Source organism: Homo sapiens, chromosome 7 (genome assembly GCF_000001405.40).
Source record: "Homo sapiens chromosome 7, GRCh38.p14 Primary Assembly".
Taxonomy (NCBI): Eukaryota; Metazoa; Chordata; class Mammalia; order Primates; family Hominidae; genus Homo; species Homo sapiens.
Genome location: NC_000007.14, coordinates 76,304,601 through 76,330,893, shown reverse-complemented (window position 1 = coordinate 76,330,893; position 26,293 = coordinate 76,304,601). Strand labels below are relative to the sequence as shown.

General features: G+C 51.2%; 1 protein-coding gene and 1 long non-coding RNA gene across 2 annotated transcripts in view, besides 8 other annotated features; one reads left to right on the top strand and one right to left on the bottom strand.

The window, feature by feature from the left end:
- Positions 1-4,095, top strand: part of YWHAG (tyrosine 3-monooxygenase/tryptophan 5-monooxygenase activation protein gamma) — a 32,193-nt gene extending 28,098 nt beyond the window's left edge. The window contains exon 2 of the mRNA NM_012479.4: positions 661-4,095. Coding sequence (NP_036611.2) covers positions 661-1,317 — 657 coding nt within the window. The 3' untranslated portion in view covers positions 1,318-4,095. The remainder of the gene's footprint in view (positions 1-660) is intronic.
- Positions 1,830-2,330: an enhancer, noted in NCBI's record as "H3K4me1 hESC enhancer chr7:75957881-75958381 (GRCh37/hg19 assembly coordinates)". NCBI's record gives its function as "activates a minimal SCP1, AML or CMV promoter by ChIP-STARR-seq in naive H9 embryonic stem cells {active_cell/tissue: H9 hESC(naive)}" and the evidence as "EXISTENCE:reporter gene assay evidence [ECO:0000049][PMID:30033119]".
- Positions 2,331-2,831: an enhancer, noted in NCBI's record as "H3K4me1 hESC enhancer chr7:75957380-75957880 (GRCh37/hg19 assembly coordinates)". NCBI's record gives its function as "activates a minimal SCP1, AML or CMV promoter by ChIP-STARR-seq in naive and primed H9 embryonic stem cells {active_cell/tissue: H9 hESC(naive and primed)}" and the evidence as "EXISTENCE:reporter gene assay evidence [ECO:0000049][PMID:30033119]".
- A 4,512-nt stretch (positions 4,096-8,607) lies between the features above and the next one.
- FPASL (fibroblast proliferation associated lncRNA) lies at positions 8,608-12,647 on the bottom strand. Its single transcript, NR_186616.1, has 2 exons — positions 10,447-12,647; positions 8,608-9,175 (listed from the first exon to the last, which is right to left on the bottom strand). It is a non-coding gene; the product is annotated as a fibroblast proliferation associated lncRNA (long non-coding RNA).
- Positions 11,784-12,780: an enhancer, noted in NCBI's record as "H3K27ac-H3K4me1 hESC enhancer chr7:75947431-75948427 (GRCh37/hg19 assembly coordinates)". NCBI's record gives its function as "activates a minimal SCP1, AML or CMV promoter by ChIP-STARR-seq in naive H9 embryonic stem cells {active_cell/tissue: H9 hESC(naive)}" and the evidence as "EXISTENCE:reporter gene assay evidence [ECO:0000049][PMID:30033119]".
- Positions 11,784-12,848: a biological region, named in NCBI's record as "H3K27ac-H3K4me1 hESC enhancer GRCh37_chr7:75947431-75948427".
- Positions 12,609-12,848: a silencer, noted in NCBI's record as "silent region_18311". NCBI's record gives its function as "represses an Ori minimal core promoter by ATAC-STARR-seq in GM12878 lymphoblastoid cells {active_cell/tissue: GM12878}" and the evidence as "EXISTENCE:reporter gene assay evidence [ECO:0000049][PMID:35858748]".
- Positions 12,781-13,777: an enhancer, noted in NCBI's record as "H3K27ac-H3K4me1 hESC enhancer chr7:75946434-75947430 (GRCh37/hg19 assembly coordinates)". NCBI's record gives its function as "activates a minimal SCP1, AML or CMV promoter by ChIP-STARR-seq in naive H9 embryonic stem cells {active_cell/tissue: H9 hESC(naive)}" and the evidence as "EXISTENCE:reporter gene assay evidence [ECO:0000049][PMID:30033119]".
- Positions 13,129-13,308: an enhancer, noted in NCBI's record as "active region_26198". NCBI's record gives its function as "activates an Ori minimal core promoter by ATAC-STARR-seq in GM12878 lymphoblastoid cells {active_cell/tissue: GM12878}" and the evidence as "EXISTENCE:reporter gene assay evidence [ECO:0000049][PMID:35858748]".
- Positions 16,328-16,622: an enhancer, noted in NCBI's record as "tiled region #14050; HepG2 Activating DNase unmatched - State 4:PromP, and K562 Activating DNase unmatched - State 8:EnhW". NCBI's record gives its function as "activates a minimal TATA promoter and a strong SV40 promoter by Sharpr-MPRA in HepG2 and K562 cells {active_cell/tissue: HepG2 | K562}" and the evidence as "EXISTENCE:reporter gene assay evidence [ECO:0000049][PMID:27701403]".

Here is a 26,293-nt window from a genome sequence, read left to right as displayed (position 1 = left end):
ATTGATTCCTGTTGCCCAGCTAGAGGCGCTGTGCTCGCCTCGTTCTTTTGTATTGCTGGTTGTAAAGTTGTATTCAGTCAGACACTCCCACTGCCACAAATAACATGTTCCCTGGGTTGCTAAAGTATCACAGCGATCAGACTCAATCCTATGCCCCTTATTTGGACTCCCTGAGGTTTAGAATTCACATGGTGTTGGCATATGAGCAGAAAGGCCTCCATGTTTCTCAGAAGTCAGCTTGAAGTTGACTCAGTATTTTCTTATCCAGAAGAGATGGGACTGAAGTTTAGTAGACAGGGCAGGATTAGGAGGAATTTGTCAGTCCGTTTTCCTAAAAAACCACTGAGTTAGACCATCTGTACTCATAGTCTCTCATCTAAGGCCTAGACTTGACAGTGTTTTGTGGAACACACGTGATAAGCCTGTGTCCTTTTCTGGGGAGGAAGCCAGGGTTCAGACACCGTTGATCCATTGATCCAGCCGCACTTTTCCCTCCCTTGTGTGTGCTCCACCTCCAGCCCCCTTCCCCCAGCCCACACAAAGTAATTTCCTTCTGTTCATCATGTTACTCAACAGAGCTCTGTTCTAGTGTCTCAAAGATACAGTTAACCCAGTGGACACCATCTGTACCATAACAACTCTGTTCTTTCCTCCTGGCAGGTGACAGAGCTGAATGAGCCACTGTCGAATGAGGAACGAAACCTTCTGTCTGTGGCCTACAAGAACGTTGTGGGGGCACGCCGCTCTTCCTGGAGGGTCATCAGTAGCATTGAGCAGAAGACATCTGCAGACGGCAATGAGAAGAAGATTGAGATGGTCCGTGCGTACCGGGAGAAGATAGAGAAGGAGTTGGAGGCTGTGTGCCAGGATGTGCTGAGCCTGCTGGATAACTACCTGATCAAGAATTGCAGCGAGACCCAGTACGAGAGCAAAGTGTTCTACCTGAAGATGAAAGGGGACTACTACCGCTACCTGGCTGAAGTGGCCACCGGAGAGAAAAGGGCGACGGTGGTGGAGTCCTCCGAGAAGGCCTACAGCGAAGCCCACGAGATCAGCAAAGAGCACATGCAGCCCACCCACCCCATCCGATTAGGCCTGGCTCTTAACTACTCCGTCTTCTACTATGAGATCCAGAACGCCCCAGAGCAAGCGTGCCACTTGGCCAAGACCGCGTTCGACGACGCCATCGCCGAGCTTGACACCCTCAACGAGGACTCCTACAAGGACTCCACGCTCATCATGCAGCTCCTCCGCGACAACCTCACGCTCTGGACGAGCGACCAGCAGGACGACGATGGCGGCGAAGGCAACAATTAAGGCCCCAGGGGAACTGGCAGCGCACGCGGATGCTACTACTGCAGTCTTTATTTTTTTCCCATGAGTTGGGGGTCGGGTGGGGGAGGGAAAGGGAGGGATGACCTTCCCAGGGAGAAACCCACGACCTGTCCTGTCTTTGATCGCCTCTTTGACATTTTTGCCAAAATACCACTAGTGGAAAGTCAGGCTAGCTGTGCTGGTATTGGAATAGCAGCCTCACACTGGCGTCTGGACTGTTCTGTAGATTCATGCAAGTGGAGCTGTCTGTCTCTAATTTAACTTATTGCTAGATAATAGGGTTTTCAGATGAAAAGAAAACTTAAAGAGGAATGGCCCTCATTCAGTAAGTTCTGTGGTTCCAGTAAGGATTTTTATGTACATACGCTCTCGTCTCTCGTTTTGGGTACTTTCTATCTCATCTGTCTCGGCTCTGCATGTTTTCCAGGGTGTAGCCTACAGACATGGAACAGTGTAAATCCCAGACTGACAGACTTAGAACCTGAGGTCTCATTCATCCTTATGGTTTAGGCCTTGCCAGTTTTCCGAAGTCTCTGATTAGTTGACAGTATTAACACTAAATTGCAGTTTACAGTATTTCTACATTACAGCCATATGTAACATCAAGCCATCGATTGTGTACTTTTCCTTTGCTAGTTGTTTGGGCTTTAACATCCTTATTCAGCCTTATCCAGGTTGGTTTTGCTGTTGATCGGTCTCCTAGGCTAAATGAGAATGAAAGCGACTTCAGGTCAGGTGGCTGTGGGATTTTTTTTTTTTGGTCCTTCTTTCCTCTTAACGTAAATCCACCACCAAAATTATTAATCCTCTTGAGAGAAACGTGAAACGCCACAAAAATAGAGAAAATTCAGGTCTGTATGTCATGGATCGTGTTGGTATTTTCAGAGAACATCCCGCTTCTGAAGCTGCTGCAGCTCCCTCCTCAGGGATCACACTGCCGTCACCCACTCTGCACTGGGGCGTTTCCTACTGCGCCTCGTGCTGGCGGACGCAGCTGGGTGCAGAAGCTGTGGGGTCGGAGAGGCGTTTGGAGAAGGTCTGTGGTGCAGTGTGTGAAAATTCAGGTGCTAGAAGCCTACTGGTAGAAAAACCCAAAAGGAAGAGCTATATCCTTAACCATTCTGTCCAATTTCGGGAGCCTTGTCAGTGTGTCAGTTTTTCCTCCCCGAAGACACTCCTTCCCCAAGTAATTGTAGGAAGATAAAAAAACTGTTACCAGATAACAAACACTGAACTCCTATTTGACCAGAACTTTTTCCTCTCGAGATAGTTTTTTCTTTTTAATGAAAAAAGCATAGGAATTGGAGATTGGCTTGTCTCACGCAGCCAGTGCACATTTGGAATTGACGGAAACAACGTTGCTATTTCCACCCATTTGTTTTCGGCAGCCTTAAGGCCCTCATTCTCATTTCGGGTGAATCTGTCTATCTGTGAACGTGGCCCGCATGTGCATTCTTTTTTTTATATATATAAAGTCAGTGACGAGGAACTCCCGAGACGTGTAATGACACCACACTTGTTTTCTTTGTTTCTTTGTTTTATTTAGGCAAGAAGAGGTGTGAGTAATTGAGGAAAAACTGACAGATGCTTTTGCTAATACCAAAATTGAGCTTACAATTAGGAACTGAGTATGTGTAACAGGATACAGGTGACAGTGAAGATAGAAGAACCACGATGACCACAGACTCAATGTGCTCTGTAACATCGCACAGTTTACCCAGCATGACTTTCCTTAGGAGGCCCCCTCCTCACGCTAGAGTAAAAGTCCCAGTTAAGTGAAGCCTACCAGAAGAACTAGTAGAAGAAGCTTTGCCGCTTTTGTGCCTCTCACAGGCGCCTAAAGTCATTGCCATGGGAGGAAGACGATTTGGGGGGGGAGGGGGGGGGGGGCAGGGTAGGTGGGGCTTTCCCTAATTTATCTTCATGTCCAGTGAGCAGTGTTGCGTTTTTCCTTGTAGCATTTGGAAATGATTTACTGGAATTACAAAACCTATTTTTCCTTTAAATTTCAGCTTTGGCTCTGGCTGCTTTTTAGAATAATGCAAGATAAAAATCACACCTGAGGGCTGAAAACGGAGAGGGAATGGGAGACTTGATATTTAAGCAGCTTGAATGGTTTTTCTTTTCTTTATTTTTAAAGAAATGCACTTGCCTATGATACTGTCTCTCCAGTGAAATGATTACTCCTCCATTACTCTATTGATACAATATTGTGCATGCTAGTGTTGTATTTCTATACAGTAGCTTGAAATTGATTAACTTATACTGTAGGTGTTATGTATTCCTATGACAAAAAAAATTAAGTCTTCAAATTTTTTAAAGGTTTTTTTTTTTTAATTTAATTTTTCCTTTTGGGGGTAAAGTTTGCTCTACCAAATAGTGATTGTAACAAATTGATCTGTTTTGGATGTTGCTATAGTGACATGCAGTTATATATTTTGTTTTTAAAAGGGGGGGAGCAAAAGAAACACCAGTGTTAGCTTAATCTTAATGTCTGGTGTTTGTCATGGTGAAATTATAACTATTACAGTGTTGGAGAACAACAAATATGTTCTCTGAATGAGCCTTTGTGCTTTTTGTCATGTTATGCAGTGAACTATTTTTAAGGTCTAATCAGTGATTATTTTTCCAGCTCCGTGTTTCTCTAAGGAATTATTTCACACACGGACCATCTTTAGCAGTTTCCTCAGTGATGGAATATCATGAATGTGAGTCATTATGTAGCTGTCGTACATTGAGCAAATAAACTTACAGATCTGACGCCAGTGCTCCTTAGCTTCATTGTGTGAGTTTTACTGTCCTTTGCTTTTGAAGGTTGGATCAGATGTTGGTGTTCTCTTCCCTCCCCAGCCCAAGCAATGAAGTTGGATTGGCAGGAAAAAGGGGAAAGACAGTAGATACTGGAAAGCGCCTCCAACCAGGAATCAGATTTGGGTTTGGGGACTTAAAAAAACCATTGCACCAGGCCAGGCGCAGTGGTTCATGCCTGTAATCTCAGCACTTTGGGAGGCTGAGGCGGGCGGATTACCTGAGGTCAGGAGTTCAAGGCCAGCTTGGCCAACATGGTGAAACCCCATCTCTACTAAAAATACAAAAATTAGCAGGGCATGGTGCTGGGTGTCTGTAGGACCAGCTACTCGGGAGGCTGAGGCAGGAGAATCACTTGAGCCCAAGAGGTGGAGGTTGCAGTGAGCCAAGATTGCACCACTGCCTTCCAGCCTGGGCAACAGAGTGAGACTCCGTCTCCAAAAAAAAAAAAAAATTGCACCTTTTAGGGTGGGCGCAGTGGCTCACACCTGTAATCCCAGCACTTTGGGAGGCTGAGGCCGGAAGATCACTTGAGGCCAGGAGTTTGAGACCAGCCTGGGCAACATATTGAGACCCTATCTCTGTTGAAAAAACAAAACCAAACCATTGCACCTTTTGGGCCTCCATTTTTCTCATATTAAACGAGCCTGTTCAACTGGATCTCTGAGGGCCTTTCCGGGGTACCACTGGGGAGAAACACAGACCTGAGTTTGAGTGATGGCACGCCCCATCCTGCCCGTTTTAAACAACAAAACAAAACAAAAAACAGATGGGGTCTGGCCATGTTGCCTAGGCTGGGCTCGAACTCCTGGGCTCAAGTGATCCTCCCAGAATTATGGCCCCTTTTGATTCCTGGGCAAATTATTCAAACTTCTTAGCCTGGGTGGGTGTGGGTGTGGTTGTAGGTTTAAATGATAACTGGATCATAGCTTTTAATTATTTTTTTGTGACAGGCTGGAGTGCAGTGGCACGATCTCAGCTCACTGTAACCTCCACCTCCCAGGTTCCAAGCTATTCTCATGTCTCAGTCTTCTGAGTAGCTGGGATTACAGGATCCCACCACCATGCCCAGCTAATTTTTATATTTTTAATAGAGACCGGGTTTCGCCGTGTTGGCCAGGCTGGTCTCAAACTCCTGACCTCAAGTGATCCGCCTGCCTCGGCCTCCCAAAGTGCTGGGATTACAGGTGTGAGCCACCGCGCCCGGCCAAGCTTCTTAATTTTCTGAGAAACATTAATTCACATTTCAGGAATGATAACACACTGTGAATAGGCTTTTGGCATATACTCAGTGAATTCACTTACGTTGACTCATTTGTCACCCAGAACTACCCTGGGTGCCACTGCAAGTGTATGGCTGTAGAATTAGGAGTGACTGCTATACCTAAGGTGCTGTAACTCACTGATAACCCGCATCTGCCTGCCTGAGTTTGGTCTGCCCACACCAGGCTGCTTTTGCACTGCTAGGAGACCATAAGAAACTAGGCCGAGCGGCAGCAACCAACTCTTCAGCACACATTGACCAAGCACTTTTATTTTATTTATTTTGAGACGGAGTTTTGCTCTTGTTGCCCAGGGTGGAGTGCGGTGGCGCCATCTTGGCTCACCCCAACCTCCGCCTCCCGGGTTCAAGCGATTTCCTGCCTTAGCCACCCGAGTAGCTGGGATTACAGGCACGCGCCATCACTCCCAGCTAATTTTGTATTTTTAGTAGAGACGGGGTTTCTCCATGTTGGCCAGGTTGGTCTCGAACTCCTGACCTCAGGTGATCCGCCCACCTTGGCCTCCCAAAGTGCCGGGATTACAGGCCAAGCCACCGCACTTAACTGACCAAGCACTTTTAGTATTGCAGTTACTGAGGGCAAAAAAAAAAAAAAAACACTTTTGGCACAGATATGAACAAGATCAGAACAGTCAAGCTTGCTCTAACAGGGTCACTGAAGAAGGAAGGTAGATCCCCTGAAAGTTGCCGCTATTTCACCCTTGTTCCTTTGGCGTAATGTCCCGTTACAGGTGCAAGAGTAGCTTTGTTTTACTGTTTTGCAGATCTCTTGGGAGCTAAGTCACACGTACTCTCTGCTTAGGCGTCCAGTCTGTTGTGATATGTGTTTTCTTAAGACAGGGTCTCGCTCTGTCTCACAGGCTAGAGTGCAGCAGTGCGATCATAGCTCACTGCAGCCTCAAACTCCTGGGCTCACGTGTTCCCGCCTCAGCCTCCCAGGTAGCTGGGAGTGCTACCATACCGGGCCATTTTACTTAATTATTTTTGAGATGGAGTCTCGCTCTGTTGCCCAGGCTGGAGTGCAGTGGCTTGATCTCGGCTCACTGCAACCTCCACCTCCCAGGTGCAAGTGATTCTCCTGTCTCAGCCTCCTGAATAGCTGGGATTACAGGTGCATGCCACCATGCCTGGCTAATTTTTTTGTATTTTAGTAGAGACGGGGTTTCTCCGTGTTGCCCAGGCTGGTCTTGAACTCCAGAACTCAGGCAATCCACCTGCCTCGGCCTCCCAAAGTGCTGGGATTACAGGCGTGAGCCACTGCGTCCAGCTGGGCCATTTTATTTTTTAGAGACAGGGTCTTACTATGTTGTCCAGGCTGATCTCAAACTCCTGGCCTCAAGTGATCTGCCTCAGCCTCCCAGAGCACTAGGAGTACAGATATGAGCCACTGCACCTGGCCTATTGTGATATGTTGTTTCACTTGAAGTATTTGAAAAAAATACAGTATCACACAAATAAGTAGTTGGAAAGGGGTGAACCTAAAGAATTGAAGTTGAATGGCAGAAGCAGAATAAGGTTAAGAAAGTTCTCATTAGGTGGGTGCGGTGGCTCACGCCTGTCAACTTTGGGAGGCTGAGCTGGGTGGATTGCTTGAGCCCAGGAGTTCAAGACCAGCCTAGGCAACATAGTACATAGTGAGACCTCTGTCTCTACAAAAATTAAGTGGGCATGGTGGTGTGCACCTGTAGTTTCAGCTACTCAGGAGGCTGAGGTGGAAGGATTGCTTGAGCCCAAGAGGTTGAGGCTGTAGTGAGCTATGATCACGCCACTGAATTCCAGCCTGGGAGACAGAGCAAGACCTTGTCTCAAATACAATAAACAAAAAAGACCTCATACTACATGAATTAAATCAGTCTGTAGATCAGGCACCAGTGGTAAAGGTCTTTTTTGCCTCTTTTTTAGTGCATTCTAGAATTTTAAAAATAACCGATACTAGGCCAGGTGTGGTGGTTCATACCTGTAATCCCAGCATTTTGGGACACCGAGGCAGGCGGATCACCTGAGGCCAGTAGTTCAAGATCAGCCTGGCTAACATGGTGAAACCCTGTCTCTACTAAAAATGCAAAAATTAGCCGGGCATGATAGCACGCGCCTTTTATCCCAGCTACTTGGGAGGCTGAGGCAGGAGAATCGCTTGAACCAGAAGATAGATTGTAGTGAACCAAGATCCTGCCACTGCACTCCAGCCTGGGCAACAGAGCAAGACTCCATCTCAAAAACAAACAAAAACTGATACTTTGTCCGAAAGGTGATTAAAAATAACAGTGTGAAACATCAGAGGTCTCCATTCCAAGAACTTCAGGTCAGGGGTAGAGTGGAGAGGCCATAAATGTAATTCAGTGGGACCTTCTAGTACAGCAAAGCATGAAAGCAGTTTTCCTCCACTCTATTTATGTGTGATGACCACATGCGTTGGCCTCTGCTCTGGTCAGCTGAAACTGCATGTTGATTCACTGGGTGATTTGAGTGGCTAAGAATGGCACCTCCCTCCTGGGTGCACAGTTCCCAAAGCCTACTCAGAGAAACAACCTTCTGAGCACTAGCTGGGTAACCCTGTTCTAGGAGTTGACAATCAGTGGTCACCAGCCTAATCAGAACATTAACATGTGGCATACCAGCTTGCTAATTAGCCCACTGGTTTGAATTTTCCAACTCTGATGTGGATAAACGTGGTTGAATCTGAATGGCCACAAGCTGTACCTCTCATTAACCACACAGCGCTGTGGTCAGTGAGGAGTTAGGGTGAGAGTAGCTGGATCACACTGGCAAGACAATGAGTCAAGACATCTCAGGTTATGTAAGGGACTCACGTGGCACTCTGTTATCCTGTTATCCAGAGTATTGGAGAGGAAAGGCCGTAGGAATTTGAGGAACACTATGACTTGGGGCCTTTTTTTTTTTTTTTTGGAAAGACAGAATCTCACTCTTGCACAGGCTGGAATGCAGTGGCATGATCACAACTCACTGCAGCTTCTACCTCCTGGGCTCAAATGATCCTCCTATCTCAGCCTTCTGAGTCGCCGGGACCATAGGTGCGTACCACCACCACACACACCTGGCTAATTTTTGGATTGTTTGTAGAATTGAGGTCTTGCTATACTGCCCAGGCTGGTCTTGAACTCCTGGCCTCAGGCAATCCTCCCATCTCAGCCTCCCAAAGTGCTGGGATTACAGACATGAGCCACTGTGCCCAGCTGGTTTTTATTTTTTGAATTGGCAGTGCACACACGTTACAAAAGTGTGAGGCGGCCGTATACAGCCCACAATGCTTGACATATTTACCCTCTGGCCAGTAGTTTGCAGACCCCTGGTTTATCAGAAACTCTTCCCAGCATGCCCATTACCTGATCACCCATTAATTGCCATTCTTAGAGGTAACTACTGCCATCCATTCTTCTAATTTGGTTGAGCTTGAAATAGGATTTTTGCTGCCTTTGAGCACTGATGTGACTCTGGCCTTGTGATTTTAAATATAGATAGTTGAAATTTGGTGGTCCCAAAACAGATATCTTGAATTAGAATATTTAATTCCATTTAAAGGGTAGTTAGGTGGTATTGGGGCACTTGAATCCCAAACACAAAAATTGAAAAGAACGTTACAGTGATTGGCTACAGACCCACTCCTTGATATGGCAGATAAATTCCTCTATGGGTTGTGGAACCTTGAAAGTCACTGTTGGCATTTTACTCCCAATGTTCATATTTCTCCTTACAAAAAGGACATTCTCGGCCAGGCGCAGTGGCTCACGCCTGTAATCCCACCACTTTGGGAGGCCGAGGCGGGCGGATCACCTGAGGTCAGCAGTTCGAGACCAGCCTGGCCAACATGGCGAAACCCTGTCTCTGCTAAAAATACAAAAAAATTAACTGGGTGTGGTGGCTCGTGCCTGTAGTCCCAGCTACTTGGGAAGCTGAGACACAAGAATTGCTTAAACCCAGGAGGCAGAGGTTGCAGTGAGCTGACATCACGCCACTGCACTCCAACCTGGGCAACCGTGAGACCCTGTCTCAAAAAAAAAAAAAAAAAAGGACATTCTCTAATATAACCGCCATACTGTTATCACCCAATTAATAATTCCCTAATATCAGCCCATATGCAAATTTCTCCAAATTGTCCTCAGAATGCATTTGATAGCTTTTTCCAATCCCCCTCCCGCACCACCTAGACTCCAATTAAAATTCATTAATTGCATTTCAATATTAGATTTCTTTGCCTATTTTTTTTTTTTTTTAAGAGACAGGGTCTCAGTTGCCCTGGTTGGAGTGCTTTGGACAATCAGAGCTCACTGCAGCCTCCAACTCATGGACTCAAACAGTCCTCCCAACTCAGTCTCCCGAGTAGCTGGGACCACAGGGCTGCACTACCACTTCCGGCTAATTTTTTTCTTTTTTTTTTTTCAACATGGCCTTCCAATAAATCTATTTTTATTTTTTGTAAAGATGGGTATGTTGTCTAGGCTGTTCCTGAATTTCTGGCCTCAAGTGATCCTCTCACCTTGGCCTCCCAAAGTGTTAGAATTAATGGGCATGAGCCACCACGCCTGGGCCTGATAATGGCTTGAGACCAGGCTACTTGACAGTCTCAAGGCCCCACGTTCTGGGTTTGTCCAGTTGTCTGTGCCTATGTCATTTAGCTTGTTTCCTGCCCTTGTTGGGGTACTTTTTTTGTCTTAAGAACTTTGCTTTCTCCTCCATTTAACCTTCTCACTGGTTCACTCTGTGTTTTTTTTTTTTTGTTTTTTTTTTGAGATGGAGTCTCGCTGTGTCACCCAGGCTGGAGTGCAGTGGTGCGATCTTGGCTCTCGGCAAGCTCCGCCTCCTGGGTTCACACCATTCTCCTGCCTCAGCCTCCCAAGTAGCTGGGACTACAGGCACCCACCACCACGCTCGGCTAATTTTTTGTATTTTTAGTAGAGACGGGATTGCACCATGTTAGCCAGGATGGTCTCGATCTCCTGACCTTGTGATCCACCCACCTCGGCCTCCCAAAGTGCTGGGATTACAGGCGTGAGCCACCACGCCCGGCTACTCTGTGCTCTTAAGCAACTACCAGCAGCAGAGCCTGTTACCTAAGCGGACAAGGCCAAAGCCACTGCTCTGAAAGGCCAGAGGGATTGGCCACTACCCATGGGGACCATCTTGTTTTCTGACTGGAGTCTTCTGGGCTCGGGGATTTGCCTCCTCAATCCTCTCCTGCCTCCCCTGGATGGGAAAAGTACAGTATTAGGTGGTTTAATAAGCACTGGCTTTGACTCACATCCTCACTTGGCCCACTGGGTCCTGGTGGTCTGCAGCTGTTCTGCCCCTATGCCTGGGGGAGGTGGGGAGACAGCACAGCCCACCTTATTCACTAGAGTTAACTCAGGAACCAGAAGCATGCCTGAGACACTTCTTTCATACTGGATCTACACTAGGGGAATCACAATCTTGGTGTTAAATTAGTTCTTCCCACTGTGGTCGGCAAATTACCCTACCACTCATTGGCTTGTAGGAGCTGAGAAGATAAATGAAAGCCTTTTTTTTTTTTGAGACGGAGTCTCGCACTATTGCCCGGGGTTGGAGTGCAATGGCGTGATACCAGCTCACTGCAACCTCCGCCTCCTGGGTTCACGTTGATTCTCCTGCCTCAGCCTCCCGAGTAGCTGGGATTACAGGCATCCACCACCATGCCTGGCTAATTTTTTTGTATTTTTAGTAGAAACAGGGTTTCACTATGTTGGCCAGGCTGGTCTTGAACTCCTGACCTCGTGATCCGCCCGCCTTGGCCTCCCAAAGTGCTGGGATTACCAGGCATAAGCCACCGTGCCTGGCCACAAGAAAGCCTCTTTTTACTCACTTAACCTGAAGCCAGATTTTAGAGATGAGGTTTCATTGGTTGTCAGTTTTTTTGTTTTGTTTTGAGACAGGATCTCGCTCTGTTGACCAGGCTGGAGTGCAGTGGTGCAGTCATAGCTCACTGCAGCCTCCACCTGCTGGACTCAAAGCAATCCTGTTTCAGCGTCCCAAGTAGCTGGGCTATCTGGCCTGGCTAATTTTTAAATTCTTTTTGTAGAGACTGGGTTTTACTATACTATGTTGCCCAGGCTGGTCTTGAACGCCTGGGCTTAAGCGATCCTCCTGCCTCGGTCTCCCAAAGTGTTGGGATTACAGGTGTGAGCCACCATGCCCAGCTGGGTTATGTTCTTTAAAGCCAGATAGCAAACTCACTTTTTATTCCATTAGGTTTATCAAAGCAGACTGCCTTCCAAGAGACGGTATTTTTTAGTGTTAAGTTGACAAGGGGTTTTGCCTGCTAAGTTTGCCGAGTAAATCCTCGGACAAGGATTGTGGGTAGTGGGCAGACCAAGAGTGAGAAATATTCTCTTGCCCTAAATCAGGAGACTACATTAGAAACAGACAAGATAGACTCAGGAAATAAAGGCTAAAAGGTATGAAGGACAAGGCAGCTTGTAGCTGACTGCAAGCATTGTGGGGTGAGTCTTTTTTTCATGTAATCTCCCTAAATACCGTCCAAGTCTCCAAGGTCAAACAGATGCCACCTCCCGCTGCTGGGGCGGGGCCACATTGAGTAATAATCATTGCTCCCCGTGGTATGTTAGCACTTCGATTTCTTTCGCCTAGTGGCGACAGAGCCAAAATGAAACTGAGTAAGTACAAAACAGCAAAATAGCATTGGCCGCATCCCTCAGGGCCTCACGCACGCACCAGCCACAGCTGGTCTGGCCGCCCTGCCCCATTCCTTGAGCCACAAAATGCTGCAGTGATGCTGGTTTGCAAAGCCCCAGAGCTAGGTCGGGGGATTCAGCATCCCTCCCGGCCCAGGTCTGGGCCCCCTCCCTACCCCAACCTGGGGGCTCTTGCAGTAGGTCCCCTGCCGACCCTTCCCGGCTCTGAAGCTGGCTTTCCCGGGGATCGCCTCTTCCAGACCCCGGACTCCAACAGCGTCCTCGAGCCCAGCCACCCCCGCCTCCAACCCACCTGGGAGCTCCATCCTCGGCCCTATCTCTGAGCACCTCCCCTCCCCAAACGCCCAGACCCCCGGCCAAGGAAGCCTTTTGCTGCCTGCCGTCTCCCCGAGGGGCCTCCTTTGCATTGGCGAGCCGTTCGTCCCTGGCCCCGGCGTGCACTGGCGCGCCTCTGTCCCCCGGGTTCCTCGACGTAAGACAGGTTTCTAGGACGGTGCAGAGGCCAGGGCGCCCGGACTACGCGGAAGCCCGGATGTGGGCCGGGCGGGACCACGGCTGTGTATGTAGCCCCGCCCCGGGGGCGGCCGCCTTCCCCTCGGGCATGGCAAGAGCCAATCACAGGCCAGCGTGTCCCCGCTCCGCCAATGGTCGGACTGTTGCTAGGGCCTGGGTCCCTGCCCCGAAATCGGCCCGCTTAGCGGCCCCGGGGCTTCATTTGTTGCAGATCCCGCCCTCCAGCCACTGGGGAGCTTTTATCTCCCAACTTCACCCGCTTCTCTCTCCTCCGTCTTCCGCCTCCACCTTTGTTACGTGCTTGGGAGGATGGAGCCTTGGGCTCGTGGTGGGCCCTTGGTCCCACGCCTGCCCTTCAGTTTCTCCATCTGAATAATGACGTGATCTCTCGTGTCCCGGCCCGTACTGGTTGGCTATCCTTTCTTACCTACACATCTCTGCTTCTGAAAACAGCCCTGGGAGGTCTGCGTTGTTCCCAGATTGCAGAAGAGGAAACTCCTGGCCCCCGATGCACACAACAGCTGGGCGGTTTCTGGTGGCTACCTGGGTCTGACGGGTTCCATCACTTTACACGCGGGAGCCATGGTGCAACAGTGAGGGAGGGGGCAGATCTGGTGTCCTGGCGACACTGAGGCCAGGTCCTGCCTCTCTTTGGTATCCCAGGCCCTCCACAGCTAGGTCCCAACCTGCCTGTCCAACCTCCGCTGCCCTCATGCCCCAGGTGTTACAGCCCCATCAGCCTCCTGTGCGCCCTTCAAGGTCCTCTGCTCCAATACCCTTCCCTCCCACGGTCCTGATGATGATAACTGAATCGAACAGTGGCTGCCAGCCAGGGCCAGGGCCCTCCCCCATCATCAGTCCTGAAAGATGTCAGAAATGGAATAAAGACACCCAGTCTCCCCGCTTCCCATCTCCTGACATAGAGTTGTATAATCCCAGGCCGAGAGGGAGTTGAGTTGCCCAAGTCACTATCAAGGCTGGATTTAGGAATTAAAAATCAGCTCCAGTGAGGTTGCTGACTGTTTAGAAAGGTGGGATTTCTGTCGCTCAGCAATGTCTATTTTCTTTTTCTTTCTTTTTTAGAGACAAGGTGTCACTCTGTTGCCCAGGCTGTACTGGAGTGCAGTGGTGCAATCATAGCTCACTGGAGCCTCCAAATCCTGGGCTCTGAGTAGCTGAGACTATAGGTGTGCACCACCATACCCAGCTGATTTCTAAATTTTTTTTGTAGAAACAGTCTCACTGTGGTGCCCAGACTGGTCTCGAGTACCTGACCTCAAGCCTCAGCCTCCCAAAGTGTTGGGATTACAGGTGAAAACCACTGTGCCCGACCCAATGTTTCATTTTCTGAATAAAGGGCTGTTGGGGGACAAAAGCTTAAGAGCTCAGGATTTGGATTCTCATCCCACCATGTCCTAATTAGGTGACATAACCTCTCAAGGTATTTAGCCTTTTAGAGGATCAGTTTCTACATCTGTAAAACGAGAATAATACAACCTACCTCAAAAATGTCTAGCAGTGACTGAGTGCTTACTATCGGCTCTCAGCAGCCTTCTAAAGACTTCACAGTGGCTGGGTGCAGAGGCTCAAGCCTGTAATCCCAGCACTTTGGGAGGCTGAGGCAGGAGGATCGCTGGAGACTGGGAGTTCCAGACCAGCCTGGGCAACATAGCGAGATCCTATCTCTACCAAAATTACAAAATTAGCCAGGCATATTGACAAATGCTTGTGGTCCCGGCTACTTGGGAGGCTGAGGTAGGAGGGTAGCTGGAGTCCAAGAATTCGAGGCTGTAGTGAGCTGTAATGGTGCCATGGCACTCCAGCCTGGGCAACTGAGCAAGATCCTGTCTCAAAAAAAAAAAAAAAAAAGCCAGGCATGGTGTCTCATGCCTGTAATCCCAGCACTTTGGGAGGCCGAGATGGGTGGATCACCTGAGGTCGGGAGTTAGAGACCATCCTGACCAACATAAAGAAACCCCATCTCGGCCCGGCGCGGTGGCTCACGCCTGTAATCCCAGCACTTTGGGAGGCCGAGGCGGGTGGATCATGAGGTCAGGAGATCGAGACCATCCTGGCTAACAAGGTGAAACCCCGTCTCTACTAAAAATACAAAAAATTAGCCGGGCGCGGTGGCGGGCGCCTGTAGTCCCAGCTACTCGGGAGGCTGAGGAAGGAGAATGGTGTGAACCCGGGAAGCGGAGCTTGCAGTGAGCCGAGATTGCGCCACTGCAGTCCGCAGTCCGGCCTGGGCGACAGAGCGAGACTCCGTCTCAAAAAAAAAAAAAAAAGAAACCCCATCTCTACTAAAAATACAACATTAGCCGGGTGTGGTGGCAGGTACCTGTAGTCCCAGCTACTCGGGAGGCTGAGGCAGGAGAATCGCTTGAACCCGGGAGGCAGAGGTTGCGGTGAGCCGAGATAGTGCCACTGCACTCCAGCCTGGGCAACAAGAATGAAACTCAGTTAAAAAAAAAAGAATACTTCTTAGGTATTAATTCATATAGTTGCATCATTTGCAGATGAGGAAACTGAGACTTAGCAACATGCCCAAGGTCCCACAGCTAAGAAGTAAGTGGCCAAGTGGGATTGAACCCAGGCAGTGTGACATGAGTTCCTGCAACCATAACTGCGATCCCGTGCTGCCGCTCAGTGGAGTGGGGTTGCTATGAGGATTTAATAAGCTAACGAGTGATTGGCAGCTAGCAGGTGCCTCCTAAAATGTGCCAGTTCTGATTAGGATCAGAGTGGAAACAGTGGTCAACCCCCCTGCAGCAGAGGGTGTGACAGGGTGGGGCAGGAGCCCGGGCTCAGGCCTTGGCTGCCAGACCCTTCCAAGGCAGAGAGAGTGGGCTGGGTCTTCCAGGAGGGAAATTCAGGGAGGCTTGAAGGCCCTTGGAAACTGAAGCCCAGGGCAGAGGAGAACCGGGCTAAAGGCGTGCTGGGTGTGGGGCTGGGGAGAGGGGCAGTGGGGAGGTGTCAGAGTTTTTCAAGACTGGGCCTCTTTTTATTTTTGTTGAGACAGGGTCTCGCTTTGTCACCCAGGCTGGAGTGCAGTGGCACAATCTTAACTTGCTGCAACATCCACCTCCTGGGTTCAAGCAATTCTCCTGCCTCAGCCTCCCGAGTAGCTGGGATTACAAGCATCCGTCACCACACCTGGCTAATTTTTGTATTTTTAGTGGAGACGGGGTTTCACCATGTTGGCCAGGCTGGTCTTGAACTTCTGACCTCAAGTTATCCACCTGCCTCAGCCTCCCAAAGTGCTGGGATTACAGGCATGAACCACCATGTCCGGCTTGTCTCTTTGTTTTATTTATTTATTTATTTATTTATTTATTTATTTATTTATTTATAAGAAACAGAGTCTCGCTCTGTCTTCCAGGCTGGAGTGCAGTGTTGTGATCATATCTCACTGCAGCCTCAAGCTTCTGGGCTCAAGCAATCCTCCCACCTCAGCCTCCCGAGCAGCTGGGGCTGTAGGTTTGCACCTACTGCCATGCCATGTCCGGCTACTTTTTCCTTTTTTTTTTTTTTTTTTTGTAGAGAAGGGATCTCACTATGTTGTCCAGGCTGGTCTCACATTCCTAGGCTCAAGCGATCCTCCCGCCTCAGCCTCCCAAAGTGCTGGGATTACAGGTGTGAGACACTGCGTCTGGCCAAGACCAAGTCAATTGCCCCTGTTTGCGCTCTACAGGGCTCAGAACCTGGGCAGAGATTCCTGAAGGTTCTGGACTGGGCAGTGTTGGTGCCTGAGGAATTCATCCTCTCTGGGAGGGCACCAGGGGGCAGTCGCTTACTGTCCTATCTGGGCCTGGGAGTGGGGCGATGTGGGTCCGCAAACCCCAGGGCGTCCTCTAGGGGGCAGTCTCGGGCCTGCCTGCGCACAGCTCCATCCTCCGTGTGGGAGGGGCTGAGGCTTCCTGCCTGATCTTGACTTGAGCCCGGGTGGGGATTGATTTATCTTTCTCCCACCCAGAGCCCACTACCCCCTGCTGAGGGGATCGGTCTGTGGGGCTGCTCCCAGGGTTCAAGGCTTTCAGGCTGGGCAGACCTGGAGAAGAGGGGTCTTTGGGGCCACGGGAGGAATTACAAAGGGATAGTTTGGGCATCAGGGTTCAGAGACAGGTGGGGTGGAATTCAGAGAGGGGAGGGGCCTCAAACAAGGGAGGGGAGAGTGGGGAAGTGAGGAAGTGCAGTCATGGGGTGGGAGCTCAGGGAAGACGGGTGAACTCCAAGAAAGGCCAGGTGAGGCGGCTCACATCTGTAATCCCAACACTTTGGGAGGTGGAGGCAGGAGGATCACTTGATTCCAGGAGTTCGAGACCTCCCTGGGCAACATAGTGAGACCCGCATCTCTACAAAAAATTAGAAACTTACCAGGTATAGTGGCGCACACCTGTTGTCCCAGCTACTCGGAAGGCTGGACAGGAGGATTGCTTGAGCCCAGGAGTTGGAGGTTGCAGTGAGCTATGATCTCACTAGTGTACTCCAGCCTGGAGACAGAGTGAGACCTGGTCTCTAAAAAAGAAAACAAAAAGAAAAGAAGAAGCCAAGCACGGTGGCTCATGCCTATAATCTCAGCACTTCAGGAGGCCAAGACGGGCGGATCACCTGAGGTCAGGAGTTCAAGACCAGACTAGCCAACATGGTGCAACCCCGTCTCTACTAAAAATACAAAAATTAGCTGGGTATGGTGGTGCACACCTGTAATCCCAGCTAATCTGGAGGCTGAGGCACAAGTATTACTTGAACCCATTGGGAGGAGGCTGCAGTGAGCCAAGATGGTACCACTGCACTCTGGCCTGGGCAATAGAGCGAGACTCTGTCTCAAAAAAAGAAAAGAAAAAAAAGAAAGAAAGAACGGATTTCCTGTGCGAGGAGGGACTTGGTGTTGGGAGGGGTACAGTCAGGTAGTGGAGCTGAGTCAGGGAGGGACAGAATCAGTGGGGCAGATGGGAACTCACGAGGGGTCCAGTGAGGGCATGAGGGCCAAGAGAGGGTAGGTGAACCCAAAGAAGGGAGTGATTTCTTTTTTGTTTGTTTGTTTGTTTGTTTGTTTTTGTTTTGAGATGGAGTTTTGCTCTTGTTGCCCAGGCTGGAGTGCAATGGCACTATCTCAGCTCACCACAACCTCTGCCTCCTGGGTTCATGCCATTCTCCTGCCTCAGCCTCCTGAGTAGCTGGGACTATAGGCGCCTACCACCACACCTGGCTAATTTTGTATTTTTAGTAGAGATGGGGTTTCTCCATGTTGGTCATGGCTGGTCTTGAACTCCTGACCTCGTGATCTGCCTGCCTCAGCCTCCCAAAGTGCTGGGATTACAGGTGTGAGCCACTGCGCTGGCTGACCTTTTTTTTTTTTTTTTTTGAGATGGAGTCTCGCTCTGTCACCCAGGCTGGAGTGCAGTGGCTCAGTCTTGGCTCACTGCAACCTCCACCTCCCGGGCTCAAGTGATTCTCATGCCTCAGCCTCCCGAGTAGCTGGGACTACTGACACCCACCACCATGCCTGGCTAATTTTTTTTGTATTTTGGTAGAGACTGGGTTTCACCATGTTGCCCAGGGTGGTCTTGAACTGCTGAGCTCAAGTGATCCGTCCGCCTCGGCCTCCCAAAGTGCTAGATTACAGGTGTGAGCCACTGCACCCGGCGGGAGTGACCTCTTTGTCATCCATCCACCTGATTAAGTTTTCAACCTCCTTATCCTGTGGTCCCACCAGCCTGAAGACATAGACGCTCCCAGCCATTCCTAAGAGGACTTTGAGGAGCCCATCATATGGAGAGCAGAACGACATAGGGAAAAAAGGGGTTACTTAGTGGGGTCAGGGGCCAGACTGAAGGCCTTTCTCACCCAGGCCCTTGTTGGTCATGCACAGAAATATCTGCATATCCTCAAGTCCCCCTGGGACTTTGGTCTTCCTACGATTGTTAGGGGACCTGGGTAGCTTCCACTATTCATGACTCCCCCTAGATCGTCACCCTGCATGGGACTGACAACACCAACAGACAACCAGAGGTCCCCCAGAAGTGAAGTCTCAGAATGGAAACTGAGCCCAGGGCCAGGCTGCACCCCAGCCCATGTCTCCGCCAGGGTGCAGCGGGCCCAAACCAAGGTCTGGCCCCAGCCCTGGGCTTTTTCCCTGGTTTTTTTTTTTTTTTTTTTTGAGATGGAGTCTTGCTCTGTTGCCCAGGCTGGAGTACAATGGCGCTATCTCAGCTCATGGCAATCTCTGCCTCCTGGGTTCAAGCAATTCTCCTGCCTCAGCCTCCAGGGTAGCTGTGATTACAGGTATCCGCCACCATGCCTGGCTAATTTTTTGTATTTTTAAGTAGAGATGGGGTTTCACCCTGTTGGCCAGGCTGGTCTTGAACTCCTGACCTCAGGTGATCCGCCTGCCTCGGCCTCCCACAGTGCTGGGATTACAGGTGTGAGCCACCTCGCCCGGCTGGCTTTTTCCTAAACATGGAGCTACTCCTGCCGCCTCAATCAATTCTTTATTTTTTTTAGAGACAAGGTCTTGCTCTGTCACCCAGGCTGGAGTGCAGTGGCATGTCCATAGCTCACTGTAGCTTCGAACTCCTGGGCTTAAGAGATTCTCCCGCCTTAGCCTCCCAAGTAGATCAGACTGCAGGCACCACCGTGCCCAGATAATTTCTTATTTTTAGTAGAGCCAGAGTCTCACTATGTTGCCCAGGCTGGAATGCAGTGGTATGATCATAGCTCACTGCAGCCTCAACCTCCTGGACTCGAGCCATCCTCCTGCCTCAGCCTCCTGAGTAGCTGGGACTATAAACATATGCCACCATGCTCAGAATTTTTTTTTTTCTTTGAGATGGAGTTTCACACTTGTTGCCCAGGTGGAGTGCAATGACACAATCTTGGCTCACTGCAACCTCTGCTTCCCAGGTTCAAGCGATTTTCCTGCCTCAGCCTCCTGAGTAGCTGGGATTACAGGCAAGCACCACCACATCTAGCTAATTTTTGTATTTTTAGTAGAGATAGGGTTTCGCCATGTTGGTTAGGGCTGGTCTTGAACTCCTGACCTCAGATGAACCACCTGCCTCAGCCTCCCAAAGTGCTGGGATTACAGGTGTGAGTCACTGTGTCCAGCCCCAGCTAATTTTTAAAAACGTTTTTGGTAAAGATGGGGACTCACTATGTTGCTTAGGTTGGTCTTGAACTCCTGGGCTCAAGCGATCTTCCCGATTCAACCTCTCAAAGTGCTGGGATTACAGGCATGAGCCACTGCGCCTGGCCTTGATTCATTCTTTAACCCCAATCCCTCCTGGCAGGCTCTGCCCCCTTGTTCAGTCCTGGGGCGGTGGGCAGGGAGGGGGAAGACTTCCTTCTACCAGAGTCAGCTGCTGATACCATCACTGTCATCTTAGGCAGGGCAGCTGCTGTACCCAGCTGAGAAGAAGGGTGGGAGGGGCTGTTATGCTATAGGAACCCCGCCCAGAGGGAGTCTGTTTTTCCCAGGGTCCCCAGCTGTGCTCTTTTCTCCCTGGGCTGAGTCGAGAGCCCTGGCTGGACACTTGCTTTTTGTTTGCAGGCCAGCCAGGGAGGCTCTGCCACCCTCGTGCTCCTGCCCGAGGCCATCCCACGAGTCTGTTATTGATCCAGAGCCGTCCCTTCTCAGCCAAGCCAGGGATTCCCGGCATTTGTCACACTGCCAACTCTCCCAGCACCAACTGGCGGTTGGCAGGGCTGTCTCTTGTAAGCAGCCCATGAAAATATGGCTCGTCCTTGGGAGGCACAGTTAGATGGGCAAAGCGAGGTCCAAAGTCACCTGGCGAGTTGGAAAGGGAAAGAGAACCAGAGGTCTCGACCAGGAGGAGCGTGCCAGGAATGGAGTGATCTCTGCTTATGCGTGGGTCTCCATCCCTGGCCTCCTCAGCGCTGGCACCCAGGGCATCGGTTGATGGGTAGAACAGTGCACCCTTTGGGGTGGAGTGCACGCACCCTGCTCCTGCCCTGCCCAGACCTGCTGGGTGACCCTGGCCAAATGCAGTCCCAGTCAGGCCTCAAGTTCCCCTCTGTAAGCTGAAGGGTTGGGCCAGCCAGTTTCTGGGAAAGGTACCTGCCCAAACGAATTAGTCCACTGGGGCATGGAGGGGAACACCTTTTCTTTTTCTTTTCTTTTTTTTTTTTTTGAGACGGAGTCTCGCTCTTTTGCCCAGGCTGGAGTACAGTGGCATAATCTTGGCTCACTGCAACCTCTGCCTCCTGCGTTCAAGCGATTCTTCTGCCTCAGCCTCCCGAGTAGCTGGTGAGAGGTGACAGCGTACTGGCAGTCCTCGCAGCCCTCGCTCGCTCTCGGCGCCTCCTCTGCCTGGGCTCCCACTTTGGCGACACTTGAGGAGCCCTTCAGCCCGCCGCTGCACTGTGGGAGCCCCTTCCTGGGCTGGCGACGCCGGAGACGGCTCCCTCAGCTTGTGGGGAGGTGTAGAGGGAGAGGCGCGGGCGGGAACCAGGGCTGCGCGTGGAACTTGCGGGCCAGCGCGAGTTCCGGGTGGGCGTGGGCTTGGCGGGCCCCGCACTTGGAGCAGCCGGCCGGCCCCGCCGGCCCCGGGCAGTGAGGGGCTTAGCACCTGGGCCAGCAGCTGCTGTGCTCGACTTCTCACCGGGCCTTAGCTGCCTCTCAGCAGAGCAGGGCTCGGGACCTGCAGCCCGCCATGCCTGAGCCTCCCCACCCCGCTGTGGGCTCCTGCGCGGCCCGAGCCTCCCTGACAAGCACCGCCCCCTGCTCCACGGCGCCCAGTCCCATCGACCACCCAAGGGCTGAGGAGTGCGGGCGCACAGCACGGGACTGGCAAGCAGCTCCACCTGCGGCCCCCATACAGGATTCACTGGGTGAAGCCAACTGGGCTCCTGAGTCTGGTGGAGAACCTTTATGTCAAGCTAAGGGATTGTAAATACACCAATCGGCACTCTGTATCTAGCTCAAGGTTTGTAAACACACCAATCAGCGCCCTGTGTCTAGCTCAGGATTTCTGAATGCACCAATCGACACTCTGTATCTAGCTACTCTGGTGGGGCCTTGGAGAACCTTTGTGTCCACACTCTCTATCTAGCTAATCTAGTGGGGATGTAGAGAACTTTTGTGTCTAGCTCAGGGATTGTAAACACACCAATCAGCCCTGTCAAAACGGACCAATCAGCTCTCTGTAAAATGGACCAGTCGGCTCTCTGTAAAATGGACCAATCAGCAGGACGTGGGTGGGGCCAGATAAGCGAATAAAAGCAGGCTACCCGAACCAGCAGTAGCAAGCCACTTAGGGTCTTCTTCGTCAGTGTGGAAGCTTTGTTGTTTCGCTCTTTGGGTCCACACCGCTTTTAAGAGCTGTAACGCTTGACGTGAATGTTTGTAGCTTTACTCTTCAGCTAGCGAGACCACGAACCCACCGGGAGGAACAAACAATTCCAGATGCGCCGCCTTAAGAGCTGTAACACTCAACGGTGAAGGTCTGCAGCGTCGCTTCTGAGCCAGTGAGAGCATGAACCCACCAGAAGGAAAAAACTCCCGACACGCCGCCTTTAAGAACTGTAACACTCACCGTGAAGGTCCTCGGCTTCATTCTTTGAGTCGGTGAGACCAAGAACCCACGAATTCTGGACTCACCGGGACTACAGGCGTGCTACGACGCCTGGCCATATTGGTGAGGCTGGTTTCAAACTCCTGACCTCGTAATCCTCCTGCCTTGGCCTCCCAGTGTGCTGGGATTACAGGTGTGAGCCACTGTGCCCAGCCGGAAACACCTTTTCTTTGCTTTTCTTAAATTTATTTATTTTTGAGACAAGGTTTTGCACTATCACCCAGGCTGGAGTGCAGTGGTGTGATCATAACTCACTGCAGCTTCTAGCTTTTCGGCTTAAGTGATCCTCCTGCAGGTGCGCACCAGCACATGTGGCTAATTTTTTTTTTCTTTTTTTGCAGGGATGAGTTCTTGCTATGTTGCCCAGGCTGCTCTCTAACTCCTGGTGTCAAGTAAATCTCCTGCCTAGGCCCCCCAAGGTGCTGGGATTACAGGTGTGAGCCCCTGCGCCCAGCCTGCAGTGCCTTTCTATAGTTTCCACTACACATTTACAGATCAGGGACACTTTTTTTTTTTCCTGAAAGTTTTGCTCTGTTGCCCAGGCTGGAGTGCAGTGGCCTGATCTCAGCTCACTGCAACCTCTTGAGTAGCTGGGATTACAGGCGTGCGCCACCACACCCGGCTAATTTTTGTATTTTTAGTAGAGACGGGTTTTGCCATGTTGGCCAGGCTGGTCTTGAATTCCTGACCTCAGCTAATCTGCCCCCTTCAGCCTCCCAAAGTGCTGCGATTACAGGGGTGAGCCACCACGCCCAGCCAGATCAGGGACACTTAGAGCTATGATGCTGTTCACTATCCCCCATGTCTTGATATGCCCTCCAGGCCCCAGGGGAGCTACACTCAGAGGTTCCCCCCATATTCCCTGGGGGGCAATTTCCCTGGGAGGGGCAGTATGGCAGTGGGGCTTAGCCCCCATATCAGGGATTCTGAGCTTTGAGGGCTAGTGCCAGACTGTCTGAGACAAGCCCAGCCTCACCCGCATCCCTCTGCTCTTCTGCTTTCTTCCTCCTCTCCCTCCCCTGCCAACCCGTGACCTCTGGCACTGTTGCAACCCCCCAGGTCCTGGTGTATGCATGTGGGAATGGTGGGGAGGTGTTTGGGGGGGCCAGCCTGACCCCTGCCCTGCCCTGGGCTCTGCCATGGTGGCATAGGGCTTCGGTGGTCTGGGGCTCTGTGCCTGGGCTGGAGGTGGTTTGGGGCTCTGTCCCTGGGCCGGAGCTCCAGTTCCCCCAACCCTCCTGTCCCTTGGTGGCTCTCCTCCATCACCAAGAGGCTCTTGGGACCTAGCTCTGGGGTTCCCTGTCGCCTTTCTGTGGGCAGCTTTTGCTTCTGTCTCCACCCTCTCAACAGAGCAGTCGAAAGCTGCACCTGTCAAATCCTGTTGATTCTATAGTCGGAGTGATGATGGCGCCTGGAAATAATTCACTCCTGGGCAGCCAAGGCCCGGGGCTGCCTGATCTCACAGACTGTGAGGTCAGCAAGCCCTAGACAACACCCGTCCTGGGGGGGAGGGGCAGTTCCAGGCCTGTCCTGCCTTTTTGTTTGTTTGAGACCGAGTCTCACTTTGTTGCCCAGGCTGGAGTGCAGTGGTGCAATCTCAGCTCGCTGCAGCCTCCACCTCCTAGGTTCAGGCAATTCTCCTCTTTCAGAATTTGAGACCAGCATGGCCAACATGGAGGAAGCCTGACTCTACTAAAAATACAAAAATTAGCCAGGCGTGGTGACAGGTGCCTGTAATCCCACTTAGGAGGCTGAGGCCTGAGAATCGCTTGTACCCGGGAGGCGGAGCTTGCAGTGAGCTGAGATCATGCCATTGCACTCCAGCCTGGCTGACAGAGTGAGACTCCATCTAAAAAAAAAAAGAAAAGGCAGGACAGGCCTGGAGAGGCCCAGAATTGCCCCACCACCCCAGAAGCAGCACAAAGACTCCACAAATCTAACACCCAGCAGAGACCCCCAGATCTGGGCCAGCCTGTCCTGTCCTGCCAGCCAGAGCCCACTATGCCCAGAGGTGCTGCCCCAGGCTCACATCATCTGAGCTGAGCCCTAGAGCGTGGGCTGGGACCTGCTCTGACTCCCCACCCTGCTCCAGATGTGGGTCTCTGGACAGGGAACTCGAGGGAGTAGACTGGGCTGGGCGCAGCAGCTCTCCCCTGTAATCCCAGCACTTTGGGAGGTCAACGCAGGAGGATGGCTTGAGCTCAGGAGTTTGAGACCAGCCTGGGCAACATAGCGAGACTCTGTCTACCAAAAAAAAAAAAAAAATCAGCCAGGCTTGTGGCGCGCTCCTGGAGATGCCTTGAGCCTAGGAGTTCCAGGCTGCAACACTTTGGTATGGTGCACCAAGATCCCACTACTGCACGCCAGCCTGTATGACAGTAGGAGACTGTCCCTAAAAAAGAAGCTGGGGCCGGGCGTGGTGGCTCACGCCTGTAATCCCAGCACTTTGGGAGGCTGAGGCGGGCAGATCACCTGAGGTTGGGAGTTCGAGACCCACCTGACCAACATAGAAAAACCCTGTCTCTACTAAAAATACAAAAATTAGCCGGGTAGGGTGGCGCACGCCTATAATCCCAGCTACTCTGGAGGCTGAGGCAGGAGAATCGCTTGAACCTGGGAGGCGGAGGTTGCAGTGAGCCGAGATCACGCCATTGCACTCCAGCCTGGGCAACAAGAGCAAAACTTGGTCTCAAAAAAGCAGCAAGGTGGTGGGGGGTGATATTGGGGGTGGTGTGGACATGCTCCAGGCCCTCGCCTGCAGGGTGCCACCCTTCTTAGGGAACCTGGGAAAGTCAGACTGTGGGCTGAGAAAAGAACATGGGAGTATTTTTTTTTTTTTTTTTTTTTTTTTTTTTTTCTTCTGAGACGGAGTCTTCCTCTGTCGCCCAGGCTGGAGTGCAGTGGCACGATCTCGGCTCACTGCATGCTCCGCCTTGAACATGGGAGTATCTTGCTACAGCCTCAGACTCTGGGTCCCTCAAATATTTGAGGACCTTGGGACTGAGCTCCAAAGCTCCCATCTGTTTTTTGTTTTTTTTTTTTAGATGGAGTTTTGCTCTTGTCCCCCAAGCTGGAGGGCAGTGGCATGGATCTTGGCTCACTGCAACTTCTGCCTCCTGGGTTCAAGCGATTCCCCTGCCTCAGCCTCCTGAGTAGCTGGAATTACAGGCATGCAACACCATGCCCGGCTAATTTTTGTACTTTTAGTAGAGACGGAGTTTCACTGTTGGCCAGGCTGTCTCGAACTCCTGTCCTCAGGTAATCCACCCGCCTCGGCCTCCCAAAGTGCTGGGATTATAGGTGTGAGCCACCGCGCCTGGTCCCCCATCTGCTTTCTACCTCAACTTTCCCTGGGCCTGGTGAGAGGGTGGCAGCTAGGGCAAGGGCAGACAAGAGAGAGGGGAACTGGGCCCTTGGAAGCCTGTCTACACCTGGAGGGAGGCCAGCTGGAAATAAACACAGGCAACAAGAGCTGCTGGCCCAGCCAGCAGCACAGGTCTGAGCCCGTCGGTTGGCCAGGGCTCTGCCCAATCTCCCCACCCCGAGACTCTGCGGGCTCCGTTCTCACCCCATTTCGGCTTGCCAGTTCCCTTGTGACTGCCAACAGGGATGCCCTGGCCTCAGGGAGTGTGGCGGTGACAGAGATCTCAAAGCTTGCCAGGTCCACTGTGGTGTCCTTGGGGTGTGCTGAAGCCGATGCCAAGCTTTTGACATAGTAATCCTCCCATCAGCTCTGAGGTGCAATTACCTCTGTGCCCCTTCACCTGGGACCCAACCTAGGTGCTCCTGAGAACTCAAGCCTCAGGTGCTTCTCTTATTTCCTCCTCCTTCCCCACCTTACAGTTTTAATTGCAATCGTGACCTTGCAATCATGACCTTTTTTTTTTTTCTTTTAAAGATGGGGTCTCACTCTTTCTCTCTGGGCTTTTGGTTGTTTTGAGACAGGATCTTGTTCTGTTGCCCAGGCTGGAGTGCAATGGCACGATGTTAGCTCACTGTACCCTTCACAACTCCTGGGCTCAAGCGATCCTCCTGCCTCAGCCTCCTGAGTAGCTGGGACTACAGGCGTGCAG